Consider the following 12541-nt stretch of genomic DNA (forward strand, 5'->3'; position numbering starts at 1 on the left):
GCTTTGACGTGAATCAGCTTTGTGAACTTCTATAAAATATTGTCCAGAGGAGTGGCATTGTTTAATGATTAGTACTGTATGCCAATAGTACCTCGAACTCAACACATCTGGTAATTATCTCCATTTTCCAGATGAGGAAACTGAAGCCTAGAGAGCTTAGGGGGCTTGCACATGATCATACAGCCAGAATCTGAACAGAGATCTGTGTGTGCAGTGCTCTTCAGCAACTTGATTCTTTATTGCATTGTTCTATAATCCGTTTTCCTGAGCAGGTCTTGTTTTCCCAACTAAAATTCCTTAAGGACTTTTTTTTTTTTTTTTTTTTGAGATGGACTCTCACTCTGTTGCCTAGGCTGGAGTGCAGTGGCGCGATCTTGGCTCACTGCAACCTCCATCTCCCGGGTTCAAGCAATTTTTCTACCTCAGCCGCCCGAGTAGCTGGGACTATAGGCACGTGCCACCAACGCCTGGCTAATTTTTGTGTTTTTAGTAGAGACAGGGTTTTGCCATATTGGCCAGGCTAGTCTTAAACTCCTGACCTCATGATCCGCCTGCCTTGGCCTCCCAAAGTGCTGGGATTACAGGTGTGAGCCACTGCACCCGGCCCTTAAGGACGTATTATAGGTCTTTTATTTCTTTTGTGGCCACGGTGGTGGCTAGCATTATACTAAACACATGGTAGGCACTCACTAAAGACTTTTCAAATGACTGAATCACTCATTCATTTATTTATTCCCTTTTTAAGCAAACATTTATTGAACACCAATTATTACATAGGTCCTGGACACTGAGAATACAGAAATAAATAACACAATATTCCTTTTCTTAAGAAACTCGCCTAGTTAAAAAAAAAAAATTCAACCTGACACTGTAATCTAGCATGATAGAACCTCAAAGGGTTATGACAGCAAAGGAAAGGAGCCCTAAACTAGCCTGGCAGAGAAGATACCTGCCTTCTTTATGGCTGAGGACACTGAGGAGGATACTTCTGAAGAGAGCACAGCAGATGCAAAGACTTGTGGGAAATAACACGGTATGTACCTGGACTTATCAGCAGTCTGTGTTGCTGGAGCATAGGTAAGAAGCAGCTAGGGGTGAGAGGTGAAGTTGAGGTGGTAAGAAGCTCAAACTTGATCTCTTTTTTTGGGACAGGGTCTTGCTCTGTCACCTAGGCTGGAGTACAGTGGCGTGGTCACAGCTTACTGAAGCCTCAAATTCCTGGGTTTAAGTGAACCTCCCACCTCAGCCTCCCCTGTAGCTGGGACCACAGGCACACGCTACTATGCCTGACTCATTTCTTTATTTTTTGTAGAGATGGGGTATGACTATGTTGCCCAGGCTGGTCTAAAATTCCTGGGCTCAAGTGATCCTGCCACTTCAGTCTCTCAAAGTGTTGGTATTACAGGTATTAGCCACAGCACCCGGCCTCAAACTTGATCTTAAAAGCACTGAGAGGGTCAGGCGCGGTGGCTCACGCCTGTAATTCCAACACTTTGGGAGGCTGAGGCGGGAGGATCACAAGATCAGGAGTTTGAGACCAGCCTGGCCAATATGGTGAAAACCGGTCTCTAATAAAAACATACAAAAAAAAAATTAGCCAGGGGTGGTGGCGGGCACCTGTAGTCCCAGCTACCCAGGTGGCTGAGGTAGAAGAATCGCTTGAACCCAGGAAGCAGAGGTTGAATGAGCCGAGATTGCACCACTCCACTCCAGCCTGAGTGACAGAGTGAGACTCCGTCTCAAAACAAACAAACAAACAAACAAAAAAAAGGCCGGGCACTGTGGCTCACGCCTGTAATCCCAGCACTTTGGGAGGCCGAGGCAGGTGGATCACGAGGTCAAGAGATTGAGACCATCCTGGCCAAACAACATGGTGAAACCCCATCTCTACTAAAAATACAAAAATTAGCTGGGTGTAGTGGTGCACACCTGTAGTCCCAGCTACTCGGGAGGCTGAGTCAGGAGAATCGCTTGAACCTGGGAGGCAGAGGTTGCAGTGAGCCGAGATTGCTCCACTGACTCCAGCCCAAGCGACAGAGTGAGACTCCATCTCAAACAATAAAATGAAATAAAATAAAGCACTGAGATGCACCACTAGGTAATAAAAACACATTCAGACCAAGACTCGTATGCAAATTTTTTAGTACCAAAACTGGAACTTATCCAACACCCATCATCTGGTCAGTAAATGAATAAAATATGGTACACTCATACAATAAAATACTACTCAGCAATAAAAAGTAATCAACTACTGATATTTGCACTAACATGAAAGACGATACATTTGTTTGCTTGGACTGCCATAACAAAGTACCACAGACTAGGTGACTTAATACAAATTTTGGCCAGGTGTGGTGGCTCACGTCTGTAATCCCAGCACTTTTGGAGGCTGAGGCGGGCAGATCACTTGAGGTCAGGAGTTTGAGAGCAGGCTGGCCAACATTAGCGAAACCCTGTCTCTACTAAAATACAAAAATTCGCCAGGTATAATGGTGGGCGCCTATAGTCCCAGCTACTGGGGAGGCTGAGGCAGGAGAATTGCTTGAACTGGGGAGGCGGAGGTTGCAGTGAGCTGAGTTTGTGCCACTGCACTCCAGCACTCCAGCCTGGGCAACAGAGTGAGACTCCATCTCAAAAAACAAACAAACAAACAAACAAACAAATTTATTTTCTCACAGTTCTGAAGGCTAGAAATCAAGGTGTTGTCAGAGTTGATTTCTTCTGAAGCCTCTCTTTTTGGCTTGCAGAAGGCCATCTTCTCCCTATGTCTTCACATGGTTTTCCCTCTGTACATGTACAAGTCCTCATCTGTTCTTATAAGGACACCTGTCATTAGATTAAGACCCACTCTAATGCCCTAATTTTAACTTAAGTACCATTTTAAAGACTGTCTCCAAATACAGTTACATTCTGAGGTCCTGGAGGTTAGGACTTTGAAATATGAATTTGGGAGGGACAAAATTCAGCCCAAAACAGAAGTCATACACAAAAACTACACGTTATATGGTTCCATCTGCATTGTTTCCGTTTTTACTTTTTAAATTTTGTTGTTGTTGTTGTTGTTACAGGATCTTGCTCTGTTGCCCAGGATTGAATGCATTGGCACAGTCACGGCTCACTGCAGCCTCGACCTCCCAGGCTCAAGTGATCCGCCCACCTCAGTCTCCTGTGTATATCAGACTACAGGCATGCACCACCATGCCCAGCTAATTTTTTTTTGTAGAGATGGGGTCTTGCCACACTGTCCAGGCTGGTCTCGAACTCCTGAGCTCAGGCTATCCTCCTGCCTCAGCCTCCCAGAAGTGCTGGGATTACAGGCATGAGCCATCATGCCCGGCTTAATTTTTTAAATTTAATTTTTAAATTTTTTATAAAGAGAGGGTCTCACTATGTTACGCAAGCTGGTCTTGAACTCCAGGAGCTATCCTCCCACTTTGGCCTCCCAAAGCACTGGGATTACAGGTATGAGCCACCATGCCCAGCACGCTGCATGAAATTTTTAGAACAGACAAAATTATAGAGACAGCAGGTCAGTGGTTGCTTAGGGCTAAGGGGTGAGGTAGGGATTGACTGTATAAGTGGAGAATATAAGGCACAAGGAAACTTTGGGGATGATGGAAGTGTTCTAAGATTGGATTTGGGTGATGGTTACGCAACTATAAATTTACTAAAATTCACCTGACTGTATACTTAAAATGGGTAAATTTTATGGTATGTAAATTATTTATCAATCAAGTTATTAAAATAAAGCAGTAGCGGGGCCATGGAAGGAATTTTACCTGAGGTTGGGGGGTGGTGGTCAAGGTCAGTTTAGCATTTAGAACCATCTTTTTTTTTGAGATGGAGTCTCGCTGTGTCGCCCAGGCTGGAGTGTAGTGACGTGATCTCGGCTCACCGCAATGTTCGTCTCCCAGGCTCAAGCCATTCTCCTGCCTCAGCCTCCCAAGTAGCTGGAATTACAGGCATGTGCCACCATGCCTAGCTAATTTTTGTATTTTTAGTAGAGATGGAGTTTCGCCATGTTGGTGAGGCTGGTCTTGAACTCTTGACCTCAAGTGATCCGCCCACCTTGGCCTCCCAAAGTGCTAGAATTACAGGCGTGAGCCACCGCGCCTGGCCCAGAACCATATTTCTAGTGGTGAGTATGGAGAACAGACTGGAAGAGGTGGAAATGGAGACAGAAAGACCAGTGGGGAGGCTGAAAGATGGCCGGGCCTGTGCTCAGCGAGGGGCAGTAAGGATGGGAGTAGACTTGGCACCTGCTGTTGGACAGGTGATCTGTGAGAAATGTGGTTCCCGGGGATGGTCACAGAGGGAGACCAGCTTCCTGGAGGAGGAAATACCTCGTGAAAGTGCCCAGCAGACCGGACGCGGTGGCTCATACCTGTAATCCTAGCATTTTGGGAGGCCGAGGCAGGTGGATCACCTGAGGTCAGGAGTTCGAGACCAGCCTGGCCAACATGGCAAAACCCTGTCTCTACTAAAAATACAAAAAATTAGCTGGGCGTGGTGGTGGTGCACACTTATAATCCCAACTACTCGGGGGCCTGAGGCAGGAGAATTGCTTGAACCCAGGCGGCGGAGGTTGCAGTGAGCTGAGATCACGCCGCTTCACTCCAGCCTGGGCTAAAGAGCGAGACTCTGTATCAAAAAAAAAAAAAAAAAGAAAGAAAGTGCCCAGCAGATGGACGTTCCCTTTGTCTGGCCTAATGGGGTTCTCAAAGGCCAAGATGTATCGACAGAGGCAGAGGATATATTTCTGGGTATGAATCAGCTCTGAGAACAATGGGGGGTGGGGGCAGCTCATCAGAAACCCAACTCTCCAGGATGAAAAATGAAGGCATTCCTTACTGACCTGCTATCCCATACTTCCCAGCCTCTTCTAGCCACACCACAGTCCGGTGGCTCATTTATGTCCTGGCCATGTCTGTGCCAGGCTCCAGCTGGAACAGGGACCAGTGATGAATTAGACATGGGCCTGGCCTTCAGGAGCTCACAGCAAACTCAGTGAGAGAGATGTGTAAGGTATGGATGCCTCTTTAATTTTTTTAGCAACAGGTGCCAAAGTATCCTGAGAAGAAATTAGGATAATCTATGAAAAACTACCCTATAGCCTCTTGGAACTTGGGTAGAGAAAGGGTGGGATTGTGTTGCATGAGACAAGGGAGGTTTACACACACATATACACACACACACACGCACGCACACATACACATGCATGCACACACATTCACACACACATGCATGCACACACGCAACACATGCATGCACACACACACGCATGCACACACATGCATGCATGCACACACACACACACACACACATATATGCATGCACACATGTGTTCCTAACAAGGAGAAGGGGGAAGACTAAAATACCCTGGGCTGGGAAGCTGGCTGAAACAAGGGAATTTTGGAGAGGAGAGACCTCAGGTGGGAAATCTTAGGTGTAAATTGTGGGAACTGTGCAGTGTACCCCTTCCCCCACACTCCTCACATCCTTAGTACACTGCCCAAATCCCCAAATGCCTGATGGGATTGCATATTTCATGGAAATCAGGAGCTGAAACAGAATCTTGCCCAGCCAGATGAGAAGCAGCAGCACCATCTGGACTGTGTTTAATCAGCAGGAGGCCATGAGACAAATGCCAGGAAGGAGGCTCTCAAGCTTCCAGACATAAAGGAATGGAGCAGAGTCAAGGGCAGTATTTCAGGCTGCAGCAGAAGCAGGAAGCGAAGACATGTGGCTGTGATAGCAGGTGTGTGCTGTTGGATGATGCTGGCGCTACTGCAGTTTGACATTGCTGAAGAGGAAGGTGGAAGAAGGACCAGACCCTGAAGAGCCTTGAACGCTCCCGTCTTCTCTACTAAGAAACTGAGACTTGCCGGACACGGTGGCTCACACCTGTAATCCCAGCACTTTGGGAGGCTGAAGTGGGCAGATCATTTGAGGTCAGGAGTTTGAGACCAGCCTGACCCACACGATGAAACCCTATCTCTACTAAAAATACAAAAAAAATTAGCCAGGCATGGTGTCATGCACCTATAGTCCCAGCTACTCAGAAGGCTGAGGGAGGAGACTCCCTTGAACCTGGGAGGTGGAGGTTGCAGTGAGTTGAGATCGTGCCACTGCAGTCCAGCCTGGGTGACAGAGTGAGACTCCATTAAGGAAGGAAGGAGGGAAGGAGGGAGGGAGGCAGGGAGGGAGGGAGGGAGGGAGGGAAGGAATGAAGGAAGGAATGAATGAAGGAAGGAAGGAAGGAAGGAAGGAGAGAGAGAGAGAGAGACTTTATTCTAAAATCAACAGAGAACCACCAAAGGGTTTTAAGCAGGGAGTAACATCATCAGATCTGTGTTTCAGAAACATCATCCTGGCCAGGTGCAGTGGCTCACACCTGTAATCCCAGCACTTTGGGAGGCCGAGGCAGGTGGATCATGAGGTCAAGAGATCGAAACCATCTTGGCCCACATGGTGAAACTCCGTCTCTATTAAAAATATAAAAATTAGCTGGGTGTGGTTGTGGGCACCTGTAGCCCCAGCTAATCGGGAGGCTTAGGCAGGAGAATCGCTTGAACCCAGGAGGCAGAGGTTGCAGTGAGCCGAGATCGCACCACTGCACTCCAGCCTGGCGACAGAGCGAGAATCTGTCTCAAAAAAAAAAAAAAAAAAAGAAAAGAAAAGAAACATCATCCTAGAACTTGTGTTAAAGATGAACCAGGGCCAGGGAGGGCGGATTGGAGGAGAGATGAAGCTAGAAAAGATGAGGACGAGCAGGCATTTCCTTTATTAGTAGAAAAACAACTTAAAAAGAAAAGACTGATGATAGGAGGGCCTGAAATAGGGCAGGTACAGGGACAGCAGAGGGGTGGTGGAGGCATCATAGAGCAAGGGAAAATGAGGGAAGTTAGTTGGGGAAGTCCACTATCTGATTTTGCCTTAAGAAGAAAATATTGAAAGGTAAGATACTTTAAATTGGTCAACCCCAAACATATGGAATGTTTACTAAAGTACTGTGTGTCAAGGTTGTACGTAGGAACACGTGAAGCCTCCCTGTGGGGTCTAGCAGCAGGGCTCTTTGCAGCCCTCAAGCCTGTTTAGGACCTGGGCTCGTTGCCTCTCTGTCCTCATTTCTGATCATTGGGTCTTTGAAGGAAGCTGGATTTCCCCATTAGCTTATCTATAATGCTCACTTGATAACAGACAATAGTCATTGCAGTGGTGCAAGGAAAAGTAGACAACACCTTCCACAAACAATATTCTGTAACTCAACAAAAAGGACTATAGAGCAGAACAATATTTAATTCAATTTCATCCACCCATCCATCTATTCACCAGGCATTCAGTTTCCAGCCAATAAATATTTGCTAAGGGCCTGTCCATTCCAGTTTTAGCCAAGCAGGGTGCTGGGAACCAGGGATGAAAAGGCCTTTGAAGAATTCCATGTCCCCTCCTGCAGATTCCAGCCTTCAGTTCCTCCAGTCAGGCCTCCCTGACTGACAACACTCTAGACGGAGCAGACCCCACAATGCCTGGCATGCCTTTTCCTAACACAAACGTCCACCACCACCTCCTAGCCCTGTGGCTTAGACAGACATGCTATGAAGCTCACGACCATCCTCAACTCCTTCCACCTCTCCATTTCCATGTATTTAATTGGCCAGAGTTGTCCTCACCTTCTATCTTCAGTTCTTCTCACTCTTCATTCCTTAAATTACTGAACTCTGGCTTTTGTGCCTGTCACTCTTCTAGCTGACGGAGACCAAATTCAATGCATTCCTTTTTTTTTTTTTTCCTGCGATGGAGTCTCGCTCTTTAGCCCAGGCTGGAGTGAAGTGGCATGATCTCGGCTCACTGTAACCTCCGCCTCCTGGGTTCAAGCAATTCTCCTGCCTCAGCCTCCCGAGTAGTTGGGATTATAGGTGCCCACCGCCACACTCAGCTAATATTTGTTTTTTTGTTTGTTTGTTTGTTTGTTTTTGAGACGGAGTCTTGCCCTGTTGCCCAGGATGTAGTGCAATGGCGCAATCTCGGTTCACTGCAACCTCCGCCTCCCGGTTCAAGCAATTCTCCTGCCTCAGCCTCCCGAATAGCTGGGATTACAGGCGCCCGCCACCACACCCAGCTAATTTTTGTATTTTTACTAGAGACGCGTTTTCACCATGTTGGCCAGGATGGTCTCGAACTCCTGACTTCGTGATCTACTTGCCTCAGCCTCCCAAAGTGCTGAGATTGCAGGCGTGAGCCACTGCTCCCAGCCTAATTTTTGTATTTTTAGTAGAGAGGGGTTTCACCATGTTGCTCAGGCTGATCTTGAACTCCTGACCTCAGGTGATCCACTTGCCTCGGCTTCCCAAAGTGCTGGGATTACAGGCATAAGCCACCGCATCTGGCCAACATGGTCTTTTAACTGTTTGTTAACTTATCTGTCTCCAACCTGGGCCATATGTCTCTTGTATACTATTGTATCTCATATATATAGTGAAGTCTAAGAAGAAACTCAGTGAACAAGTGAGGAATGAATGAATGAGCACTTGTCCAAGAGGACCTGTCCACGGGCTGCTTAGTATCCTGAAAAAATTTTGATAATCTGAAATTTTAAAAAAACCTAAAACTGAAATAAGTTGAGCAAATTGGACTGGACCATTTAGGAATTACAAAATGGGGAACTGTTGAGAAAATCTGTAGTTAGTCATGGGCCAAAAGCTGGAAGTGGTAGTTGAGATGAGCCATGGCAACAATGGCTGTGTTTACACTAAAATTATGAGGAAACAAAAACTGTGGTTAAGCAGAGAAGAAAACAGAGCAGTCATACAGAAAGAAGCAATTAGGTCAAAAGACAATGAGGCAAAGAGAGCAGCTCACTCCATCCAGACTGTGTCTGGAACAGCCCTTGCCCTTCTTTACCTGACATGAAAGCTGAGACCATGTGACAGCTCCTCAGGAAGCCTCCCTGACCAGCAGTGTTTGGGGGCAGAAACCAATGTTCTCTGAAAAAATGATCATATGCTTCTTTCTAGCCCTGAATGCCAACCCCACCTGACACACATTGTAAGAATTCAGAGGCCAGGTGCGGTGGCTCACGCCTATAATCCTAGCACTTTGGGAGGCCAAGGTGGGCGATCACCAGGTCAGGAGTTCGAGACCAGCCTGGCCAATATGGTGAAACACCAGCTCTACTAAAAATACAAAAATTAGCCCGGCATAGTGGCGGGCGCCTGTAATCCCAGCTACTCGGGAGGCTGAGGCAGGATAATTGCTTGAACCCAGGAGGCGGAGGTTGCAGTGAGCCAAGATCACGACACTGCACTCCAGCCTGGGTGACAGAGGGAGACTCTGTTTCACAACAAACAAAAAAACAAAAAATTCAGAAATGATGTGCTTAAGACAAAATTGCCCATAGCCAGTTTCCAGTTATCTTCACTTTTAGCATCACTACTCCAAGCACTCTCCCAGCCCCCAAGGGAAGGGAGAAAGGAAAAAATTTATACAAAGCATATGCAAGGTGGGGATGGAAGGTCCTCCTGCTCTTTTTCTGAATGTCTGAGGCAGCAAAGGTAGAGATGTGAACCTCTGGTGAGCGAGCTGAGGAATAAACAGGCTGGGATGTGAGTGTGGCTGGGAGCATGACGGGGTGGTATAGGTATAGAACAGGAAAACCAGTATCACAGTGTCCTCTTGGCTCACCCACTTAGTTTTGGTAACTGAGGGACTTTACATTGATTTTTATAGCACTGATAAGGTGTTTTAGAACAAGCACCTGCAGGCTTATCTCACTGTCCTTGAGCTCCTACGTCACCAGCTGTCATGAGCGTGATGTGTCCTGGCCTGGCCTGGCCTGGGTAGCTATACATTCCACAAGACAGTCTATGTAAGATACACATGTTCTCATAAAAGTTTATGACAACTTTAAAAAATGCTTTTATTTTTGAGATGGGGTCTTGCTTTGTCACCCAAGCTGGAGTGCAGTGGCATGATCATAGCTCACTGCAGCCTTGACGTCCTGGGCTCAAGTGATCCTCCTGCCTCAGCCTCCCGAGTAGCTAGGACTACAGGCACAAGCCACCACACCTGGCTATTTTTTTCTTTTTCTTTTTTTGTAGAGATGGGGTTGCCCTGTGTTGCCTAGGCTGGTCTCAAACTCCTGGACTCATGCGATCCTCCCACCTCAGCCTCCCAAAGTGTTGGGATTACAGGCATGAGCCACCATGCCTGGCCTAAACAACTTTTTGAAAAAGAAGAAATACAGGCTTGTGATGTATTGTTAAAAGTTGTAACAAAGACAGCACTCTGGCCACGTGTGGTGGTTTACGCCTGTAATCCCAGAACTCTGGGAGGACAAGGTGGGTGGATCACTTGAGGCCGGGAGTTTGAGACAAGCCTGGCCAACATGGTGAAACCCTGTCTCTACCAAAAATACAAAAATTATCCAGGCGTGGTGGTACACACTTGTTGTTCCAGCTACTCAGGAGGTTGAGTTATGAGAATTGCTTGAACCCAGGAGGTAGAGGTTGCAGTGACCCAAGATTGCACCACTGTACTCCAGCCTGGCAAAAAAAAAGACAGCACTCTGATTTCATTTCTTATATATTGCACCAAATGAAAGGAAGGATTACGTGGTATATATCCCTGGTATCCAGGTCCAAAGTCTTTCCCTGATTTCCTCTGATCTTTGGGCTAGGTGAGCTGCCTCCTCCAGGTTCTTGTGGCACACTGTGATTTCCTCACACTGTATTGCTCTTTACCCTATACAGACTGTAAACTCCCAGAGATGAAGACCATGCTGTGTCCCGATTAATCACATAGAGCCTGGTATACAAGAGGCCTGTAGCAATGTTTGTTGAATGAATGAATGAATGAATGAATGAGTGATCTAATTACTAAATACATCTGTGTCAACAAGAAATATGTTGGTGTTAAGATTACTTCTTTTTTTGTTTTGTGTTTGATACAGGGTCTCACTGTGTTGCCCAGGCTGGAGTGCAGTGGCAGGATCTTGGCTCACTGCAACCTCCACCTGCTGGGTTCAAGCGATCCTCCCTCCTCAGCCTCCCAAGTAGCTGGGATTACAAGAGTGAGCCACCACACCTGGCTAATGTTTGTATTTTTTAGTAGAGACAGGGTTTTGCCATGTTGTCCAGGCTGGTCTTAAACTCCTGGCCTCAAGTGATCCTCCTGCCTTGGCTTCCCCAAGTGCTGGGATTATAGGCATAAACCACCGAGCCTGGTCTTAAGATTACTTTAATCTTATACTCCTTAGTTGACCTGTTACCCTGCTTGGAAAACGTTACCCCCAATAAACCTGTAGTATCCCTGAAGGCTAGCCAACTGATAGGGTTCCTAAGTTGCCCCCAAGGGCTTCCTTTCCTGTCCAGAGGCCTGGCCTCCTTCCCTCCTCTGAGTTTGGGGATCCTGCCTGCATATAGGTTGATTGCTCATCACCCTGCCCCAATATTGAGCCCTGTCTAGATTTCCCACTCCATGCCCTGTCAGAATCATTAGACTGTCTGATGCAATTATTTCTGGGATGAAGCGGGGATGACGAAGAAGACAGAGGAGGGTCAGCCTTCTACTTCTGACACCTATCTTAGGTTCTTTTTTGAGGCATGGAGGCTGAGGTGGTTCGGTCCTATGGTTCCCACTGCTGGTGGCACCTGACACCAACATCCCCAACAGTTTTGTCTGACCTCTCTTTTCGCTAGAAAATGCTTTGGCTGATTGATTATTCTGGCTTCTGGAGAACTGCTTTTGTTCTCAACATGAGGCACATATGGTAAGCCTCATCCTTAAGGAATAAGGAGTGAGTTGTTGTTTTTTTTTTTTTTTAAAGTGACATTTAAGATGTTGTAAGTAGGAATGGTGGTGCTAGTCCTTTCTGGAGATTGCCTTTTACATTTTATTTTTTTTGAAATGGAGTCTTACTCTGTTGCCCAGAGGGGAGTGCAATGGCAGGATTTAGGCTCACTGCAGCCTCCGCCTCCCGGGTTCAAGCGATTCTCCTGCCTCAGCTTCCCGAGTAGCTGGGATTATAGGCGCCTGCCACCACACCCAGCTAATTTTTGTATTTTTAGTAGAGACAGGGTTTCTCCATGTTGGTCAGGCTGGTCTCAAACTCCCGACCTCAGGCGATCCGCCCACCTCGGCCTCCCAAAGTGCTGGGATTATAGGCATGAGCCACCTCGCTCAGCCGCCTTTTACATTTTAAATAGGGAAACATTACAGAGAACTGGAATAAAAAGAGTTAATTTGACATTGCTAAATGCTCCATTTTTTTCAAAATGAAAATATGTTCATTCTTTTCTGATTATAAAAATGATACAGACTCTTGGCCAGGCGCGATGGCTCACGCCTATAATCCCAGCACTTTGGGAGGCTGAGGTGGGCGGATTGCCTGAGGTCGGGAGTTCGAGACCAGCCTGACCAACATGGAGAAACCCTGTCTCTACTAAAAATACAAAATTAGCTGGGTGTAGTGGCACATGCCTGTAATCCCAGCTACTCAGGAGGCTGAGGCAGGAGAATCACTTGAACCCGGGAGGCGGAG

General features: G+C 46.9%; 1 long non-coding RNA gene across 1 annotated transcript, besides 1 other annotated feature; it reads left to right on the forward strand.

The window, feature by feature from the left end:
• Positions 1–3420: 3420 nt before the first annotated feature.
• On the forward strand, positions 3421–5819 carry LOC105369386 (uncharacterized). Its single transcript, XR_950302.3, has 3 exons — positions 3421–3462; positions 4877–5025; positions 5560–5819. It is a non-coding gene; the product is annotated as an uncharacterized LOC105369386 (long non-coding RNA).
• Positions 8959–9008: an enhancer, noted in NCBI's record as "active region_5253". NCBI's record gives its function as "activates an Ori minimal core promoter by ATAC-STARR-seq in GM12878 lymphoblastoid cells {active_cell/tissue: GM12878}" and the evidence as "EXISTENCE:reporter gene assay evidence [ECO:0000049][PMID:35858748]".

Source organism: Homo sapiens, chromosome 11 (genome assembly GCF_000001405.40).
Source record: "Homo sapiens chromosome 11, GRCh38.p14 Primary Assembly".
Lineage (NCBI taxonomy): Eukaryota > Metazoa > Chordata > Mammalia > Primates > Hominidae > Homo > Homo sapiens.